The 20290-nt window shown below is 37.4% G+C and overlaps 1 protein-coding gene across 11 annotated transcripts in view; it reads right to left on the bottom strand.

The window, feature by feature from the left end:
- The window catches only part of EXOC6 (exocyst complex component 6), a 232660-nt gene that overhangs the window by 187185 nt on the left and 25185 nt on the right, over positions 1-20290 (bottom strand). The window lies entirely within an intron of this gene.

The raw sequence follows: 20290 nt of genomic DNA, 5'->3' as shown, positions 1-20290 counted from the left end.
AAAAAAGACTCTCCATACTTGGAAAGTTATAAAAAACACATAATATAAAAAAACTTTTGGATCAAAGGGGAAATAAATACAGCAGAATTGCTTTAAAAGAGCAATAAGGAAGATATATCAGAACATGTAGAATACACCTAGAGCAATCATCAGTGAAGAAGAACAGCATTAAATAATAACGTCAATAAATGAATTACGTACAAAATGCAAAAAGCTAGGAAAAGAATAAAAGAAATGGAAAGAATCATTAAAAATAAAAGCAGAAAGGAATGAGTTAGAAAACAGAAAATGTATGGAACTACTAAACAGGTTTTTTAAAAAAATCAACAAAACAGGCAAACCACTAGTTAACCAAACAAAAGGGGAAAACAATGACTGAAATTACAAATACACAAAATTTAAATTTAAATACAAAAAATACTAAAATTAGGACTGACAAGTGGGATATAACCATTGAAAGAGAAGAAATTATTATTTTATTATTTTATTTATTTTTTTTAGACGGAATCTCACTCTGTCACCCAGGCTGGAGTACAGTGGCACAATTTCAGCTCACTGCAACCTCTGACTCCCTGGTTCAAACCGATTCTCCTGCCTCAGCCTCCTGAGTAGCTGGGATTACAGGCATGCACCACCACGCCCAGCTAATTTTTGTATTTTTAGTAGAGACAGGGTTTCATCACGTTGGCCAGGCTGGTCTCGATCTCCTAGACTCAAGTGATCCTCCAGCCTTGGCCTCCCAAAGTGCTGGGATTACAGGCGTGAGCCACTGCAACTGGCCTATGATTTTTTTTTTTTTTTTTTTTTGAGACAGGGTCTTGTTCTGTCACCCAGGCAGGAGTGCAGGAACACAATCACAGCTCACTCCAGCCCCAACCTCCCACCTCAGCCTCCCAATTAGCTAAGACCACAGGTGTCCAGCTAATCTGGTTTTTGTTTGTTGTAGATACTGGGTCTCCCTATGTCACGCAGGCTGGTCTCAAACTCCTGGGCTCAAGTGATCCTCCCACCTCAGCCTCCCAAAGCGCTGGGATTATAGGCATGAGTCACCGTGCTAGGCTGAAATCTTATTTTTAGTAACATTACACAAGTCTACTCAAATAAATTTGATAAACTTGAAGAAATGATAATTTTTCAAAAGAACACAATTTATTGACCCTCAAGAGAGAAAGTCTAAAACAGACCAATTATCACAAAAGAAACAGAGAAAAGAGTTAAAAGACTCCTCTACCAAAAGCACCAGATCCATTGATTTTCACAGGGGTAATTCTGAGAAACTTTTAAAAATAGATAACATCAGCTGGGCATGGTGGCTCACACCTGTAATCCTAGCACTTTGGGAGGCCAAGGTGGTTGGATCACGAGGTCAGCAGATCGAGACCATTCTGGCCAACATGGTGAAACCCCATCTCTACTACAAATACAAAAATTAGCTGGGCGTGGTGGCGCATGCCTGTAATCCCAGCTACTCAGGAGGCTGAGGCAGGAGAATCGCTTTGAACCAGGCAGTCAGAGGATGCAGTGAGCCAAGATCGCATCACTGCACTCCAGCCTGGTGACAGAGCGAGACTCCATCTCAAAAAAAAAAAAAAGATAACACCTACACTAATTATATAATGCCAAAAAAAGAAAAACTTCCAATTTTGTTTAATGAAATGAGTGTAACATTGATCCAAAGATCGGAAAAAGTCTGTACCAATGTGCAAAGTGCACCAAAGTGCAAACTACAAAGTAATCTCACTTATAAATATCAAAGAAAAAATCTTTAAAAGCATACTAGCCAACAGAATTCAAAAACACACTGAAAGAGCAAATTGTCATGACCAAATGGGGTTTATTCTAAGAAGCAGGACTATTTCAATAATAGGAAATCCATTAATAAATTCAATCATACTGACGGAGCAAATAAGAAAAAATCCTATGACCATCTCCATAGATGCAGAAGAAACATCTGACAAAATTCAACAGCCTTTCTTGCTAATAAAAGCAGTATTGGTGAATACTTCCTTAACATGATAAAATATAAATACCTCAGTTCAAAAGCCAGAGCTGGGTGGCACGCGGTGGCTCATGCCTATAATCCCAGCACTTTGGGAAGCTGAGGCGGGCGGATCAACTGAGGTCAGGAGTTCAAGACCAACCTGGCCAACATGGTGAAACCCTGTCTCTACTAAAAAAATACAAAAATTAGCCAGGCGTGGTGGTGGGCACCTTTAATCCCAGCTACTCAGGAGGCCAAGGCAGGAGAAACACTTGAACCCAGGAGGCGGAGGTTGCAGTGAGCCAAGATCGCACCACTGCACTCCAGCCTAGACAATAGAGTGAGACTCTATCTCAAAAAAAAAAAAAAAAAAAAGCCCACAAGCCAGAGCTATCCTAATGAAGAAATACTAAAGGTTTCCCCTGCTAAAGTCAGGAAAAAAAGATGCCCCCTGTCTCAACCACTGTATTGCAATTATTGGATTGTTAAGTTAGACTAGAGAAAGCAATCTAAGGTTTAAGAAGTGAAAAGGAAGTAAAATTATTTCTAAATACAGACTATATGATTACGTAACTGAAAAACCCAACAGAATCAGTGGTGAAAATTTATAAACAATAAGAAAACTTAATAAACAGTTTAAAAATTAGCATACAAAGATCACCAGCATTCATTTATATATGAGCAAAAACCAATTAAATGACAATGTAAGGCCCCTGTCTAGGCACGGTGGCTCACATCTACAATCCCAATACTTTAGGAGGCCAAGTAAGGAGGATCACTTGAGGTGAGGAGTTTGAGACCAGCCTGAGCAACATAGTGAGACCCTGCCTCTACAAGGAAAAATAAAAATTAGTCAGTTATGGTGGCATGTGCCTATAGTCCTAGCTACTCAGGAGGCTGAAATGAGAGGATCCCTTAAGCCCAGGAATTTGAGGTTACAGCTAGCGGTGATCATGCTACTGCACTCCAGCCTGGACAACAGAGTGCGACCCTGTCTCATTTTTTTTTTTTTTTAAAAGAAAGGGCCTGCCATGGTGGCTCATGCCTGTAATCCAGCACTCTGGAAGGCCAAGGAGGGAGGATTACTTAAGCCCAGGAGTTTGACACCAGCCTAGGCAACAGGGTAAGACCTCATCTCTACAAAAAATTTTAAAAATTAGCCAAGCACTAATTTCAATCACACTGATGGAGCAAAACAATCGTATGACCATCTTCATAGATGCTGAAAAACATCTGACAAAATTCAACAAACTTTCTTGTTAAAAACACTAAATAAAGTGGGTATTGATGAATGTTTCCTTAACATGATAAAATATAAATCCCTCAGCACAAAAGCCAGAGCTCTCCTAATGAGAAAATACTAAAGGTTTTAGTCCCAGGTACTCGGAAGGCTGAGGTGGGAGAATCACTTGAACCCAGGAGGTTGAGGCTACAAGGTGAGTCATGATCATGCCACTGCCCTCCAGCCTGGTCTCTAGCAAGAACCTGTCTCAAAAAAAAAAAAAAAAAGAGGGAGGGAGGGAGGAAAGAAGGGAGGGAGGAAGGAAGGGAGGGCCCAATTAAAATAGTGAGAAAAAACACCTACACATAATCTTAAGGAATTCTAAAATTTATTTATGGAAAAGTTTAACTCTCTTGAAAGACATAACATGTTCTTGGATAGGAAGACTCAATATCATCAACATGCCTGTTCTCCCTAATTAATTTATAATTATAGCTCAATCCCAATCAAATACTTTGAGTGTTCTAGAACTAGAGAAATTTATTGTTTGTTTAGAGAAATAAGGAAGAGTCACCAGGAAATCCCTGAAAAAGATAAGCGATGAGATGCAGGTAGCCCTACCAGATATTAAAACAACGAAGCTTCCAAAATTAAAAGTGCTGCATAGCACATGAATAGACATATAGACAATGAACAGAACCAAGAAACCCACATACAGTATCACTGCGTATAAAAATTCAGTACATGATAATGGCACCATCTCAAATCAACATGAAAAAGACCTACATTTTAATAAGAGGTACTAGGATAGCTGGGTTGCCACGTGAAAAAAGATAAAGAGCCACTCCTCATGCCACACCCCAGGAAAATGCAAACAGAATCAGATGCAACATTAAAAAACACCATACAAGTACCAAAAGAAAACATGGGTGGACTCCCCTATAACTCCGGAATCTGGAAAACTTTCCTATGACTCAAAATTCACAAGCTAAAAAGGGAAAGACTGATAAATTTTATTTCATAAAATAAAAAACTTTTGCACAGCAAAAAATAAAAGTATAACTACAGTAAAAAGACAAATGAAAAAAATGTTTCTAATGGCAATTTTAAAAAACTGAAATGGACAAAAAAGATTACTGAATGTCCTATCTAGCATATTTTGGGGTTATCTGTGCCTTTCACTGTCTTTTGGCTATTTTACAACTTTATAAATTGTAGAAAGCTGATACTAATGCAAATGACTCTTGTCCAAAAAAATGCAGATATATTTTTGTCAGTGGAATACAATTGATTACTGCCCTGTGGATACTGACCAGTTGTGTATCCATTTATATATCCATCTCAGCATTCCCAAATCCTATATTGTTTTTTGCCATTGCCTTTGAAACAGTTGTAACATCATACTGATTCCCTCTTAATAAGTTAAATACAATCTTTGGCACATATTCATTTTACATTTGTGTGAGGGTCATGATTTTACCTTTTTGAAAATTATCTTTTAATAGTTTTGGAAGTTTTACCAAAATGCCCAGTGCATTCACCTGACAGAGCCAAGAAAACTGCTTTATCAGATAATTGCACCTCATGGGCTACTCAAGCTTGGGTATTATCTTTTCTTGGCTCCCAGAAGTAAAACCCAAGCAGCAATATATACTTAACTTTGCTGCCTGTTTCTCTGGGTCATCCCCGCTTCCCCCATCCTCTCTACAAATTATATGTTCTGGTGTGGTTTCTAGTTACTGCATGGCCAGTAAGTTATCACCCCTAAATGGCAGCAATGATTGAGAATTCGATTTTATGATCATTTACTTGGTGATCCTTATAGACGGATGATAGAGATCACTTGGGTAAAAGATAAAAGAGACTTTGGTTTGTTAGTCTTTTTAACATATCTGTTTATTCTGAGCTCAAATCCAGTTAAGAATTTCATGTCCACCAAGAACAGGTCTTTGACATCTGGACCAATGAGTTTTTCTATCTCTGTGACTCTTACATCTCTTGACCTGTGAGTGAAGTTACAGAAACAAAGTTACAAAGCTCTGCATCTGTAATTCAGAAAGACTTTTACCTCTTCATTAAGTATGTAAAACAAGTTATCTCTATTAATAGTTTAAACTATAAAGTCTCTTGAATGAAAGAAACTCTGTTCTGACTGGCTTATTGATACAAATAAGTACTTATATAAATAGAATATTTGTAAAATTCCCCCAAAACAAGGAAATTGAACTTCTAATATGTTAAATGTGTTAGACTTAAGAAAAATTCTTATGGAAACTAACTCAAAAACATTTTTAAAACCCAAGGTCACCTAAATAAGATACAATTTTGGCAAACCTTGATAATTTCAGTTTTTAAAAATAGCTATTTCTTGTCTCTGATTAATCATTTTATTCTGCTAAGATTTTTTTTCCTAAACACATACAGGTTTACTGATCACATAAGCTAACATTACCCTACATAATATTTAAGATGATGAAAAGGTAAACTCGCGCTCAAATAAATTATTCTGACAAACTTTTAATTTAAACATGTATGAAAATAATTTCCAACATTTTTAGGTAACAAAACCTTGATATTAAGTTAATTAATAAATAATAATTGGATATCTAATTAATTTTTAGTACAACAGAACCCAAGACGACTGATTACTAAGCACAATTAAGTTTATATATTTGTTTCTTTATATGTTATATAAAGGCTATGGTTTTGGGACATGTTAATGAAAGTGTTCAGTTTTGCCACTTTAAGAAGGTATAAAAGGAATGTTTGTGGCTATAGGAGTTTATATTACGTGTGCTCATGAGTTTTCCAAGTGTGATAAAATTCTTGTGTACAACAGACAGTTCTCAATGTTTAATCCCAGTGTTTTAATGTGAAATATAAATTAGTTACTTGGATTAAAAATTTAAAATCATTACCAGCAGTTAAGATAATACTAGGAAAAATAGTAAGAGAGAAATATAATACAATTGTGTAGATGCTTTTATTTTTCAAGAAAATTGAGTACACTTAACCCTTGAACAACACAGGTTTGAACTATGCAGATTCACTTATATATACACAATTTTCTTCTGCCTTTGCCACCCCTGAGACAGCAAGACCAACTCCTCCCATCTCCTCCTCAGCCTACTCAACATGAAAATGATGAGGATGAAGACTTTTATGATGACCCACTTCCACTTAGTGGATATTAATATAGTTTCTCTTCCTTATGGTTTTCTTAATAACATTTTCTTTTCTCTCACTTACTTTATTGTAAGAATACAGTAGATAATAAACATAACATAGAAAACATGTTTTGATTGTTAGGTTATCAGTAAGGCTTCCAGTCAACAGTAGGCCATTAGTAGTTAAGTTTTGGGAGTCAAAAGTGATACTCGGCCAGGCCAGCACTTTGGGAGGCCGAGGCAGGCAAATCACTTGAGGCCAGAAGTTCGAGACCAGCCTGACCAACATGGTGAAACTCTGTCTCTACTAAAAAAAAAATGCAAAAATTAGTTGGGTGTGGTGGCGTACACCTGTAATCCCAGCTATTCAGGAGGCTGAGGCGAGAGATCGCTTGAGCCCGGGAGGCGTCTCCCTCTGTCGCCCAGGCTGGAGTGCAGTGGCGCAATCTTGGCTCACTGCAACCTCCACCTCATGGGGTTAAAGCTATCCTCCCACCTCAGCCTCCTAAGCAGCTGGGATTACAGGCGCACGCCACCACGCCTGGCTAATTTTTGTATTTTTTTAGTAGAGACGGGGTTTCACCATGGTGGCCAGGCTGGTCTCAAGCTCCTGGCCTCAAGTGATTCACCCGCCTTGGCCTCCCAAAGTGCTGGAATTACAGGCGTGAGCCACCGTGCCCAGCTGATACTCATATTTTTGACTGCAATGAGGGGACAGTGCCCCTAAATCCTGTGTTGTTCAAGGGTCATCTGTAGTTTCATCCTAAAGTAGTAGTTATCAAAATTTTTGTTCTCTTAAAACTGATTGAGAATTCCAAAAAGATTTTGTTTACGTGGATTATAACTATCAATATTTTTCAATTAAAAATTAAAACAGAATTTTTAAAAACATTTATTGATTGATTCATGTGAAAACAGCAATGATGAATGCAATGCATGTTAACATAAATAATTTCTGAATTAGTCAGGGTTCTCCAAAGGAACAAAACTAATAGGATATATAAAGACATATAAAAGATTTATTACAGGAATGGGCTCACACCATTATGAAAGCCAAGTTGTACCATAACATGCCGTCTGCAAGCTGGAGAACCAGGAAAGCCAGTGGTATAATTCAGACCAAGTCAAAAGGCCTGCAAACCAGGGGGGCTGCTCGTGTAAGCCCCACAGTCTGAAGACCTGAGACCAGGTGTTCCGATGTCCATGGGCCAGAGAAGACAGATGTCTCAGCTTAAGAAGAGAGAAAGAATTCACCCTTCCTTCACCTTTTTATTCCATTTGAGGCCTCAGTGGATTGAATGTCCACCCACATTGGCGATGGCAGACCTTCTTTACTCAGTCTACTGATGCAAATGCTAGTCTCTTCCAGAAACACCCTCACTGGAACACCCAGAAATAATGTTTCACCAGCTATCTGGGCAGCCCTTAACCTAGTTAAGTCGACACATAAAATTTCATCATCATAACCTTTTAGGATTATTTAAAAATAATTTTGACCTCACAGACCCCAAACAAAGAACCAGTGCTCTAGAGTCAAGTGTTTGTTTCAGAATATGAAAGAGCACAGTGAAGGACAAAACTTGGAAAATGATGTATATCTGCCTTGGTTTATAATACCTGAGTCTGAAAACCAGTTATGAAATATGTTACAAACTTAGCAACATTTGCTTAATCTTGTTGGGCTTGTTTCCTTGGTTATTTGTTAATGCCTCTGCCTACAATACGAAAGGTTACTCTTTACCTTCTGTGTAATCCGCCTATATAACAGTGAGTCTGTTTGCCAGAATAATTTTCTGTGTTTCATAGGGACTTTATTATACTTTTTATTATTTAAGCAAGCAAAAAAGGTTTCTTCTCACTTATGAAAGAGCTGAGGTTCTTCACAATCAAGTTATCTATGTTTATTTTTAAATGATTCATTTTCATGTTAACTAAATAGATAACCAGCACCACCATGCCGAGCTAATTTTTTGGGTTTTTTTTCTTTTTTTTTTGTTTTTTTGTTTTGTTTTTTTTTTTTTGAGATGGAGTCTCGCTCCGTCGCCCAGGCTGGAGTGCAGTGGCGCGATATAGACTCACTGCAAGCTCCGCCTCCCGGGTTCACGCCATTCTCCTGTCTCAGCCTCTCGAGTAGCTGGGATTACAGGTGCCCACCACCACGCCCAGCTAATTTTTTTTTGTATTTTTAGTAGAGACGGGGTTTCACCATGTTAGCCAGGATGGTCTCGATCTCCTGACCTTGTGATCCGCCTGCCTCGGCCTCCCAAAGTGCTGGGATTACAGGCGTGAGCCACCGCACCGGACTTTTCTTAAAATTTTTTGTAGAGATGGGATCTCTCCATGTTGCCCAGGCTGGTCTCAACCTCCTGGGCTCAAGCAATCCTTCCCGCCTTGGCCTCCCAAAGTGCCGAAATTATAAGCATGAGCTACTGCACCCAGCCTCAAGACATCTTTTACACCTAAAATTATCTTTAAGGTTTCCCAGAGGAACCCTAGAACAGTTCAGTTATTTATTCTTTCAGCTTACAAAAAATGAAATGCAAGAAACTATTAGGTTTGTTGGATGTGCTACTCTAGTAAAAATTGCATGGGAAGAGTTATCAAATTAAAAGAGATGCTTAGCCTTCCTAGATTAAATGTCTATAGGTAAAAAATGTACTAACACAAACATTTCTGAAACTGTACTCTTTATGGGAAGTCCCTGGAGATTTGCCAATGCCCTTGCTATCGATATTGTGTTTTCATTGATCAAACTTTTAAAGTAGCTGTTATGTAATAAACCTGATAGGAAATTTTACTCTCTTCCATTCTCATATTATTGGTTACACTGATTAATTAGCCATAGCTGTTAAAGTCCATCATCTACAGATAGTTTTATTATACTCTGATGCTTGCCTAAAAGCTCTGCTATAGGCTGTTAAGTCGAGCTTGTATCTTCAACAATGAAGGGCAGTTTCAGAGACTTGTGCACTCCAAACTATTGACACTTCACAAAATAGACTCTAAAAGTTAAATACAGAATTACCATATGACCCAACAGTTCCACTCTTAGGTAATTACCCCAAATACTGAACATAGGCATTCAACCAAAACTTGTACATGAATGTTCATAGCAGCATATTCTCAACCACCAAAAGGTAGAAACAAATGTTCATCAACTAATGAATGAATAAATAAAATGTGGACTATCTATATAATGAGAATTATTCAGCCATAAAAAGAGTAGTACTTTTTTTCTTGAGACAGGATTTTTCTTGGTATTGCCCACATAGCAGTCCATATGGACTGCTATAACTAAATACTGTAGACTGGGTAGCTTACAGACAACAGAAATTTCTTTCTCACAGCTCTGGAGGCTGGGAAGTCAAGATCACAGCAGATTCATGTCTAGTGAGTTCTGGTTCATAGATGGTGCCTTGTAACTGCATCCTCACATGGTGGAAGGGGCAAGCTAGCTCTCAGGATCTCTCTCTCTCTCTCATAAGACTACTACCGGTCCCATTCATGAGTGATGTGCCCTCATGACCTAACTACCACCCAAATGACCTACCTCAAACTATCACATTGGTGATTTAGGTTTTAACATATGAATTATGGGGGGGGGGCATGAAACTTCAGACATAACAAGTATTGATTCATGCTACAATATAAATGAGCACGCTAACGTGGAAGAAGCCAGACACACACAAAAACCACATATTATATTCCTCTATTACATGAAATATCCAAAATAGGTAAAATCATAGAAAGCAGAAAACTGGTTGCCAGGGGCTAGAAGAGAGAAAATGAAGAGTGACTATTTAATGTGTACAAGGTTTCTTTCTGTAATGATGAAAAATGTTTTAAAACTAGATAGAGACGATGGCTGCACAGCACTGTGAATGTACTAAATGTCACTGAAATACACATTTTAAAATGGCTGTTTTTTACATTGATGTTACCTCTATTTAGGAAAAAATAAAACAAGAATAATATTTGAGGGGGATACACTTCTGGAATAAAAGTGTGAGGAAATCCACAAACCTGTTCCCTAGTGAAACAACCCTAATTCCACAAACCTGTTCCCTAATGAAACAACTCTAACTAATGAAAATTATTTTTTTAAAACACCATTTGAATTTCTGAAAATTGTCCTAAGAGCATACAGGAAAAGAAGAAACATTTATCCAAGAAAATATACTACATACTTGGTAAGAACAGTAAGAGTTTGTGGCCCTTGACCCATGACCCACATCCACCTTTTCCCAACCACCAGTTCAGGTGACAGATCTACCCAGTGGCAGTAGCTGAGAAGGCAGGGCTCTCTTTCCTGCCAGGGTTTCAGTCAAGAGCCAAAGAAAGGACAGGCATTCAGAATTTCTTACACCTGCCCCAACTGTGTTGCAGAGGCTAAAAAAAAAAGGTGAGTATGGCAGAGAGAATAAGGGCTCCATTCTTCCACCCAGCCCTCCTTCATCCTCCCAGCCCCTGGAGGATGTCATAGAACAGAGGCTATACCACAGTAATAACAACCATGGATATTGGGGACCCAGCTGCCCTCACTTTGGCCTGCTCATACGAGAGAGGCTCCACACTGAGAGAGGCAAGCCAAGACCAGAGACTGCCATCTCACCCAGCACCATGCTCTTAAAGCAAGGATATCACTCCAAGAGAGGGAGGCCACTGTTCGTGCCCCCAGATCTAGAGCAGTGGCTCAAGGATTATAATCAGGGGGTGAGGTAGAAGGTAAGTACAAAGAGCTCCAAAGAATTCCCCAAAGACACTGACCTTATGTAGAACAGAGTGTGGAGAAGCACAAACATAAGGGTGCTCTTGAAAACAATGAAGACTCTGGTATTAAGCAATTGAAAGGAGGTTGGTAGCTTCATGAGAGTAATAAGCTAAATTCTAAGTCAGCAAGTTTACCCAAGAGAACCAGGAAAAGAAAAAGTGAAGAAGAGCCTTCCTGCAGTGAGAACAAACCTCAGAGACTGGCCTGGGAAAACCAGGCACTGCACTCAAACAGATATTGGTACACCCATGTTCACTGCAGCATTATTCACAATAGTCAAAAGGAGGACGCAACACAAATGTCCACTGATAAATGACAGATAAACAAAATGTAATATATACATACAATGGGCTTTCATTCTGCCTAAAAAAGGAAGAAAAGTATGACATGTGCTACAATGTGGATAAATCTTGAGGACATTATGCTTAGTGAAATAAACCCGTAACAGAAAAACATATAATTCCACTTATATTAGGTATCTAGAGTAATCATAGTCATAGAGATAGAAAGTAAAATGCTGGTTGCCAAGGGCTGGTGAAAACTGGGGAATGGGAGTTAGTGTTTAATAAGAGTTTCAGCTTGGGAAGATAAAACAGTTGTGGAGAGCCAGGCGCAGTGGCTCACGCCTGTCATCCCAGCACTTTGGGAGGCCGAGGCGGGTGGATCACGAGGTCAGGAGTTCAAGACCAGTCTGGCAACATGGTGAAACCCCGTCTCTACTAAAAATACAAAAATTAGGTGGGCATGGTGGTGCATGCCAGCTACTCAGGAGGCTGAGGCAGAATTGCTTAAACTGGGAGCAAGAGGTGGAGTCAGCAGTGAGCGAGATCACGCCACTGCACTCCAGCCTGGGCTACAGAACAAGACTCTGTCTCAAAAAAAAAAAAAAAAAAAAAAAAGTTGTGGAGATAGATGATAATGGTGGCAGAACAATGTAAATTGTACTTAATGCCAAATAACTTTATATGTAGAAATTATTAAAATGCTAAATCTTATGTTATATGAATTTTATCACAATTTAAAAATAAAATAAAAAGCCAAGATTGGGAAGATTAGGGGTTTTAATCCACTAAAAAGTCAAAATAAATAACAAAACAGAAAAATGAAAACATTCTGTCACTTATTCCTTTTGACATTTTCGGCACAATGTGGCTGGATATTTTCTAGCTGCTGGAGTATATAGTAGCTTCCTTTACCTGGTGGTGCACTCACCTCCCACTGCTAAGGACTCACAGTTGTACCTTGTCTACAGATGAGAAGCACTCCACACAACATTGATGCCTGGGAGGTTATATGCCTCCAACACACACACACACACACACACACACACACACACACACACATGCACACAAACGTGCACACACACACAGACGGAGAGACAGAACAGCCTGCAGTGAAGGAAAGATTGTTGCAGGTTAAGGTAAAAACTCAGCCCCTCTACCTCAAGGTGAGCTAATTCTGAGATGTCATTCAAGCTCTAGAATTCCCCGAGATTAGGTTAAAGCTAGACTTCTGGGGAACCCACAGGTTTGCTGATCTCTGCCTATCCTATTTTCCTTACTCCTATGGTTTCATCTGAAAGTATTCCCTCAATAAATCACTTGCATATAAGGGATAATATGCCACTGCAAAGAGGACCAAATTTAACTGGATCAGACTGTGGAATAACTTATGCCCCAGGACACTGTTGAAAATAATAATCACCCAGCAATTACTGGAATCTAACAGCCGAATGTGATGCCAACGAAGGCAGAAAGTTTAACAGAGACGTCAGGAAAACAGAAAGTCAAAGAGAGCACTGCTAAAATCACTGTCATTCCAGGGTGACAGCGTATATGCCAGGATTGCACTCTGAGGAGCAACATCAGAGACTTCCCACTGTGAGGGAAATACACTTGATTAGAATAGTCCAAACAAGCCACTAAACAAGCACACAAACAACAACCTGCCCCATGAGTGTTATGGGGTGGAAGGAATCAGCATCGAGAGTTGCTACGTTATCTAAATCGTCCAGTTTTCAACAATAATAACAAAAAAAAACTATGAGGCATATAAGGAAACAGAAGACTGAGACCAATAAACAGAAAAACACGCAACAGTGGCCAGGCGCTGTGGCTCATGCCTGTAATCCTAACACTCTGGGAGGCCGATGCAGGTGGATCACCTGAGGTCAGGAGTTCAAGACCAGCCTGACCAATATGGTGAAACCCCATCTCTACTAAAAATACAAAAATTAGCCGGGTGTGGCGGTGTGCGCCTGTAGTCCAGGTACTTGGGAGGCTGAGACAGGAGAATTGCTTGAACCTGGGCAGCGGAGGTTGCAGTGAGCCAAGATTGTGCCACTGCACTCCAACCTGGGTGACAGAGCAAGACTCTGTCTCAAAAAAAACGAAAGAAAGAAATAGGCAATAGAAACTGCTTATGAGATGGCCCAGATGTTGGATGTAGCAGACTTCAAAGCAGCCATAATAACTATGCTCACAGAACTAAAAAGAAGAAGCAAAGGAAAGTATGATGACAATGTCTTACCAAATAGAGATGGATAAAGAAGTAGAAATTATTTTTTTTAATAATTGGAAATTCCAGAGTTGAAAAGTCAGTAACATAAATGAAAAATTCATTGGAGGGTCCCAACAGTGGATGTGAATTGGCAGAAGGAAGAATCAGTGAATATACAAGACAGTCTGATTATGCAATCAGAGAACAAGAGAGAAAAAACAGTAAGAGAGAAAAAAGAACAGGAGAGAAAAAAGAATAAGGAAAATGAACAGAGTCTCAAATAAATGTGGACATCATTAAGCACACCAGCATACATGAGATGGGAGCACCAAAGTAGAGAAGAGAAAGGAACAGAATGACTATTTAAAGAAATAATTTAAAATTTCCAAAATTTGATGAAAAACATTAACCTACATATCTAAGAAGATCAACAAACTCCAAGTAAGATAAACATAAAGAGATCCATATCCAGGTACATCATAGTAAAATAATGAGAGACAAACGGAAAATCCTGAAAACAACAAGAAACTGCTGATTACATAAGGGAATTCCAATAAGATTAACAGCTGACTTCTCATCAGAAATAATGAAGCCCAGAGGCAGTGGAAAGACATATTCAAACTGCTGGCCGGCGGAGGGGGGGAACCCGTCAACTAAAAATCTTACATATGGTAAAACTATCTTTCAAAAATGAAGATGACATAAAGACATGCCCAGATTTTAAAAAAACAGACAAACAACAACAACAAAAAAAACAGGAAATAGTTTCAAGCAGACCAGCCTTACAAGAAATACAAAAGGAATTTCCTCACGATTAAGAGTGAACTCAGATGACCATTTGATCACACACAGACACACAGACCAGACACACACAGACACACACAAAGAACACCAGTAAAGGTAACTATGTAATTATAAAATACAGTATAAATGCATACTTCTCATTTCTTATCTGATTTGTGGAAGCAGTTGCATAAAACTACATGTACATAATTGTATTGGTGGCATGCAACATATAAAATATATATAGAATATATGTAATACAATGGACAATCACAACACAAAGGATGTATGTGGGAGCAAAGCCATTCTGGAGTAAGAAAATGACACAAGATGACAACTAAAAACCCAGCAACAAATGAAAAGAATCAGAAACAGTAAATAAGAAACTTAATATAACAAACTTTAAAAATACATATTGGTCTCTGTTCTTCTTTCTGCTTCTTTAAAAGACAAAAAATTATAAAAAGTAACAATTATAGTAATGTATTATTGTAATAACACAAAAAAAGGGAAAGAAGGAATATAGCTATATAAGAGTAACATTTCTATACCTTACTGGAAATTAGACTAATTCTGAAGTAGATTCTGAGAGCAACCACTAAGAACTAACTTTTTTCTAAATTCCCAAAAAATCACTAATTAAAATATTACACCAGAAAATATTTGCTTAATGCAAAAGCAGCAGTAAAAAAGGAATAGAGGAGCAAAAAAAAAAAGGAAGAAAGAAATGAGACATAGAACACAAGAAAAACAGCAGATGTGAATCCAACTATGTAAATAATAACATTAAATATGAATAAACAATCAAAAGGCATAGGTTCTCAAATTGGATAAAAATAAGATCCAATGATGTGCTATCTACAAGAGATACACTTTAGATTTAATGACATATTTAAAAGTAAACAGAAAAACATATATCATGAAAAGAGCAACTATAAGAAAGCTGCAGCAGCTATACTAATATCTGACATAACAGACTTTAAAACAAGTCTAGAAATAAAGGATATTTTATGACGGCAAATGGTCAATCAATAAGGAATATATAAAGTATAAACATATATGCATCTAACAACAGAGCCTGAAAAGACATAAAAACTACTCATCATTCAATAATGGATAGAACAACTAAGCAGAAGACCAAAAGGGAATAGGAGACGTGAACAATACTCTAAGCTAATTAGACCTAACAGACCTCTATAGAATACTCCCTCCAACAACAGTAGGATACACAGTCTTCTCAAGGGAACATGGAACATTCTCCAGTACAGACTATGTTAGGCAATAAAATAAGCCTCAATAAACTTAAAATAAACTGAAGTCATACAAATTATTATCTCTGACTGCAATGGGATTAAATTAGAAATTAATAACAGAAGGACATTTTAGAAATTCACAAATATGTTGAAATTAAGCACACTTCTAAATAACCAGTGAAAGAGGAAATAATAAGGAAAACTAAAGATATTTTGAAGAAAGGTAAATGAAAACACACATGCCAAAAAGTTTTAGATGAAGCTAATGCTGTTCTTAGAGAAAAATTTATAGCTGTAAAAACCAATATTAAAAAATAAGAAAGATCTCAAATTAATAACCCAAACTTCCATCGTAAGGTTGGGTTCCATCATAATAAAAAAGAGAGCAACCCAACCCAAAACAAGCAGAAGAAAGAAAGTAATAAAGATTAGATCAGATGTAAATGTAACAGAAAAACAATAGAGAGGCCAGGTGCAGTGGCTCATGCCTGTAATCCCAGAAATTTTGGAGGCAAAGGCAGGCAGATCACCTGAGGTCAGGAGTTCAAGACCAGCCTGGCCAACGTGGCAAACCCTATCTCTACTAAAAATATAAAAATTAGCCAGGCATGGTGGCATGTGCCTGTAATCCCAGCTAGTCGAGAGGCTGAAACAGGAGAATCGCTTGAACCCAGGAGGCGGAGGTTGCAGTGAGCCAAGATCGCGCTACTGCACTCCAGCCTGGGCAACAGAGCAAGACTTCATCTCAAAAAAAAGAAAAAACAAAAACAATAGAGAAAAAAATCAATAAAACAGAGAGTTGGTTCTTTGAAAAGATCAACAAAATTGACAAACCTTTATCTAGAATGACCAAGCAAAAACAAAGACTCAAATTACTAAATTCAAGAACAAAAGAGAGAATGTTACAGAAATAAAAATAAGAAAAAGTTATGAGCAATTATATGTCAACAACTAAAATAATCTAAATGAAACACAACAAATTCCTAGAAAGACACAAACTATCAAAACTAACTCAAGAAAACTAGAAAATCTGAGTATACCTTTAACAAGTAATGAAATGGAATCAGTAATCGAAAACTTCCCAACAAAGAAAATACACATGGCTTAACTGGAAAATTTTACCATATATTTAAAGAATTAACATTAATCATTCACAAGCTCTTCCAAATGTGGAAGAGAAGCGAACACTTCCTAACTCATTCTATAAGGCCAGCATTACCCTGATACCAAAGCCAGATAAAGACATCACCAAAAAAAGAAAATTACAGAGCTGGGCATGGTGGAACATGCCTGTAGTTTCAGATACTCAGGAGGCTGAGGTGGGAGAACTGCATGAGCTCCAGAGTTCAAGACCAGCCTGGGCAATGTAGCAAGATCCTGTCTCAAACATAAATTAAAAAAAAAAATTTTCATGCCAGGCACAGTGGCTCATGCCTATAATTCCAGCTACTCGGGAGGCTAAGGTAGGAGGACTGCTTGAGGCCAGAAGTACAAGATCAGTCTGGGCAACACAGTGAGATTTTGTCTCTAAAAAAATTACAGAAATCCCTCATGAATATAGATGTAGAAATTCTCAATAAAATACTAGCAAACCAAATCCAACAGTATATTAAAGAGGATTATACACTATGGCCAAATGAGATTTATCCTAGGAATGCAAGGGTAATTAAACATGAGGAAATCAATCAATGTAATGTACCACATGAATAGAATAAAGGGGGGAAAAAACCCAAATACTCATCTCAATTGAGAGAGCACCAACTCATTCTATGAGGTATCATTCTCATATCAAAGACATCACACACACACACACAAAAAACAGATCAAAATATCTTATGAATACACATGCAAAAATCCTCAACAAAATACTAGCAAACAGAATCCAACAACATATAAAAAGGATTATACTTTATGCACTATGATCAAATGGGATTTATCCCATGAATACAAAGTTGGTTTACATCTGATAATGTAATATACCATATCAAAAGAATAAGGGACAAAACCACATGATCACCTCAATAGATACAGAAAAAAGCATCTGATAAAATTCAACACCCCTTCATAATGAAAACTAAGAGAACTCCTCAACCTGATAAACAGCATTTATGGAATTCCCACAGCAGTGTATGAGAGTGCCAGTTCTTCTACATCCTTACCAATACATGGTATAGTCAGTCTTTTTTTTTTTTTTGAGATGGAGTCTCATTCTGTCGCCCAGGCTGGAGTGCATTGGCACAATCTCGGCTCATGCATCCTCCGCCTCCCAGGTTCAAGTGATTCCCCTGCCTCAGCCTCCCAAGTAGCTGGGACTACAGGCGTGTGCTACCAAGCCCAGCTAATTTTTGTATTTTAGTAGAGACGGAGTTTCACCACATTGGCCAGGATGGTTTCAATCTCTTGACCTTGTGATCCACCTGCCTCAGCCTCCCAAAGTGTTGGGATTACAGGTGTGAGCCACTACACCCAGCCTCATTTTTTTAGTTGTTTTATTATTATTCAGTCTCAAACACTTCCTTTATACATTCTAGACAGAATTTATTTATTGGATATGCAATTTGCCAATATCTTCTCCCAATCTGTGGCTCACCTTTTCTTTCTTTCCTTTTTTTTTTTTTTTTTGAGACAGGGACTCACTCTGTTGCCCAGACTGGAGTGCAGAGGCATGATCACGGCTCACTGCAACCTCAATAGCTTCTTCAAGGACTAGATATTCTCAATTCTGGTCCAATAAATAAAGTCCAATTTATCAATTTTTTTCTCTTATGTATTATGCTTTTGCAAACAGTATCTAAGACATCTTGGCCTATCCTAAAGTCACAAAGATTTCCTCCTATGTTTTCTAGTAGTCTTATAGTTTTGCATTTTACATTTAGGTCTTGGGTTCATTTTGAGTTAATTTCTAAATATGGTGCAAAGCATGGATCAAAGTTCATTATTTTATGTAAGGATATCCAATTTTTCCACCACCATTACTAAAAAAGACTATCTCTTTCTACTGAATTGCCTTTTCATCTTTGTTGAAAATCAATTGACTGTGTTAATCTATTTATGTGGTTTCTATTAAGTTTCACTGATCTATTTGTTTATCTTGATGCTAGTACCACAGTCTTAATTTCTGTAGCTTTATAGTAAATCTTAAAATCAGGTCTATGGGTCCTCCAATTCTGTTCATCTTTTACCAAGTTAGTTTGGCTAATCTAGGTCCTTTACATTTCTACATGAAATTTAGAATCAGCTTGTCAATTTCTATAAATTTTCATTCTGCTGGGATTTATTCAGATTATCTTGAATATCTAGACTAAGTTGGAGAAAACTGACATCTTAACAATACTGTCTTCCAATCCATGAAAACAGTATGTGTCCACTTACTTAGTTTAGTATCAGCAATGTTAATTTAATTTATATCAGCAATGTTTTGTATTTTTCACATACAAGTCTTCCACATCTTTAGTCAGATTTATCCCTGAGTATTTCATATTTTTGATACCATCAAATTTTAAATTTCAATTTCTGATTGTTGCTAGTACAGAGAAACACAATTGGCTTTTGCATATCCACCTGATTCCTACAACCTTGCTAAACTCACTTATCAGTTCTAGTAGCTTTTCTGTACATTCCACAGGATTTTCTATAATAGTTGATCACACAGTGTGCAAATAAAGACGGTTTTCCAAACTAGATGCTTTTTTTTTAAATGGTCTTATTATACCGGCCTTATATTCAACATTCTAGTACAGTGTTGAATAGAAGTGGTGAGAATGAATATCCTTACCTCATTCCTGATTTTAGAGGAAAAGCATTCAGACTCTTACCACTAAGCACAATTTAGCTCTAGATTTTCATAGATGCCCTGTTTTAAGCTGAGGAATTTCCATTACTAGTTTCTGAGGGTTTTTAAAATCAGGAATTAATATTCGATTTTGTCAATGCTTTCTCCACATATATGATCATACAACTTTTCTTTGTTTAATATGGTGAACAATGTTACATTGATTTTTCAAATGTTAAGCCAGCATCTTTCTTGAAATAAACCTCACTTGATCATGATGTATTCTTCACATATATATACACACACATATATACATATACAGAATATACTTTTTATATAGATGTATTTTATACTTTTAAATCCACATATATGGATTTAATTCTCTAAAATTTTTTGTAAAATCTGTGTGTATGAGGAATACTGATTTAGTTTCCTTTTCTAGTTATGTCTTTCTTTCTTTAGTTCTGGTATCAGGTTAATGTTGACCTCAAAATGAGCTGGGAAATATTCCCTCCTCTTCAATTTTCCAGAAAAGTCTTTGTAGAATTGGCATTAATTCTTCCTTAAAGATGTAGAATCCACCAGTAAAACTATCTGGGCCTAGAGTTTCCTTTTGGGGAAGGCTTATAACAGCAAAATTCCCTTTCTTTAATTGATACAGGGCTATTCAGCTATTTCTTCTTAAGTGAACTTTGATAATACTTTGTATCTTTCAACTAATTTGTCCATTTCTGCTAAGTTGCCAAATGTATGAGCATGAAGTTGTTCATAATATATATACATTTTTTGAGATGGGGGTCTCACTCTGTTGCCTAGGCTGGAGTGCAGTGGCACAATCTCAG

Source organism: Homo sapiens, chromosome 10 (genome assembly GCF_000001405.40).
Source record: "Homo sapiens chromosome 10, GRCh38.p14 Primary Assembly".
NCBI classification, from domain to species: domain Eukaryota; kingdom Metazoa; phylum Chordata; class Mammalia; order Primates; family Hominidae; genus Homo; species Homo sapiens.
The sequence above is the reverse complement of the archived record's forward strand: the minus strand, read 5'-3'. Positions and strand labels throughout refer to the sequence as shown.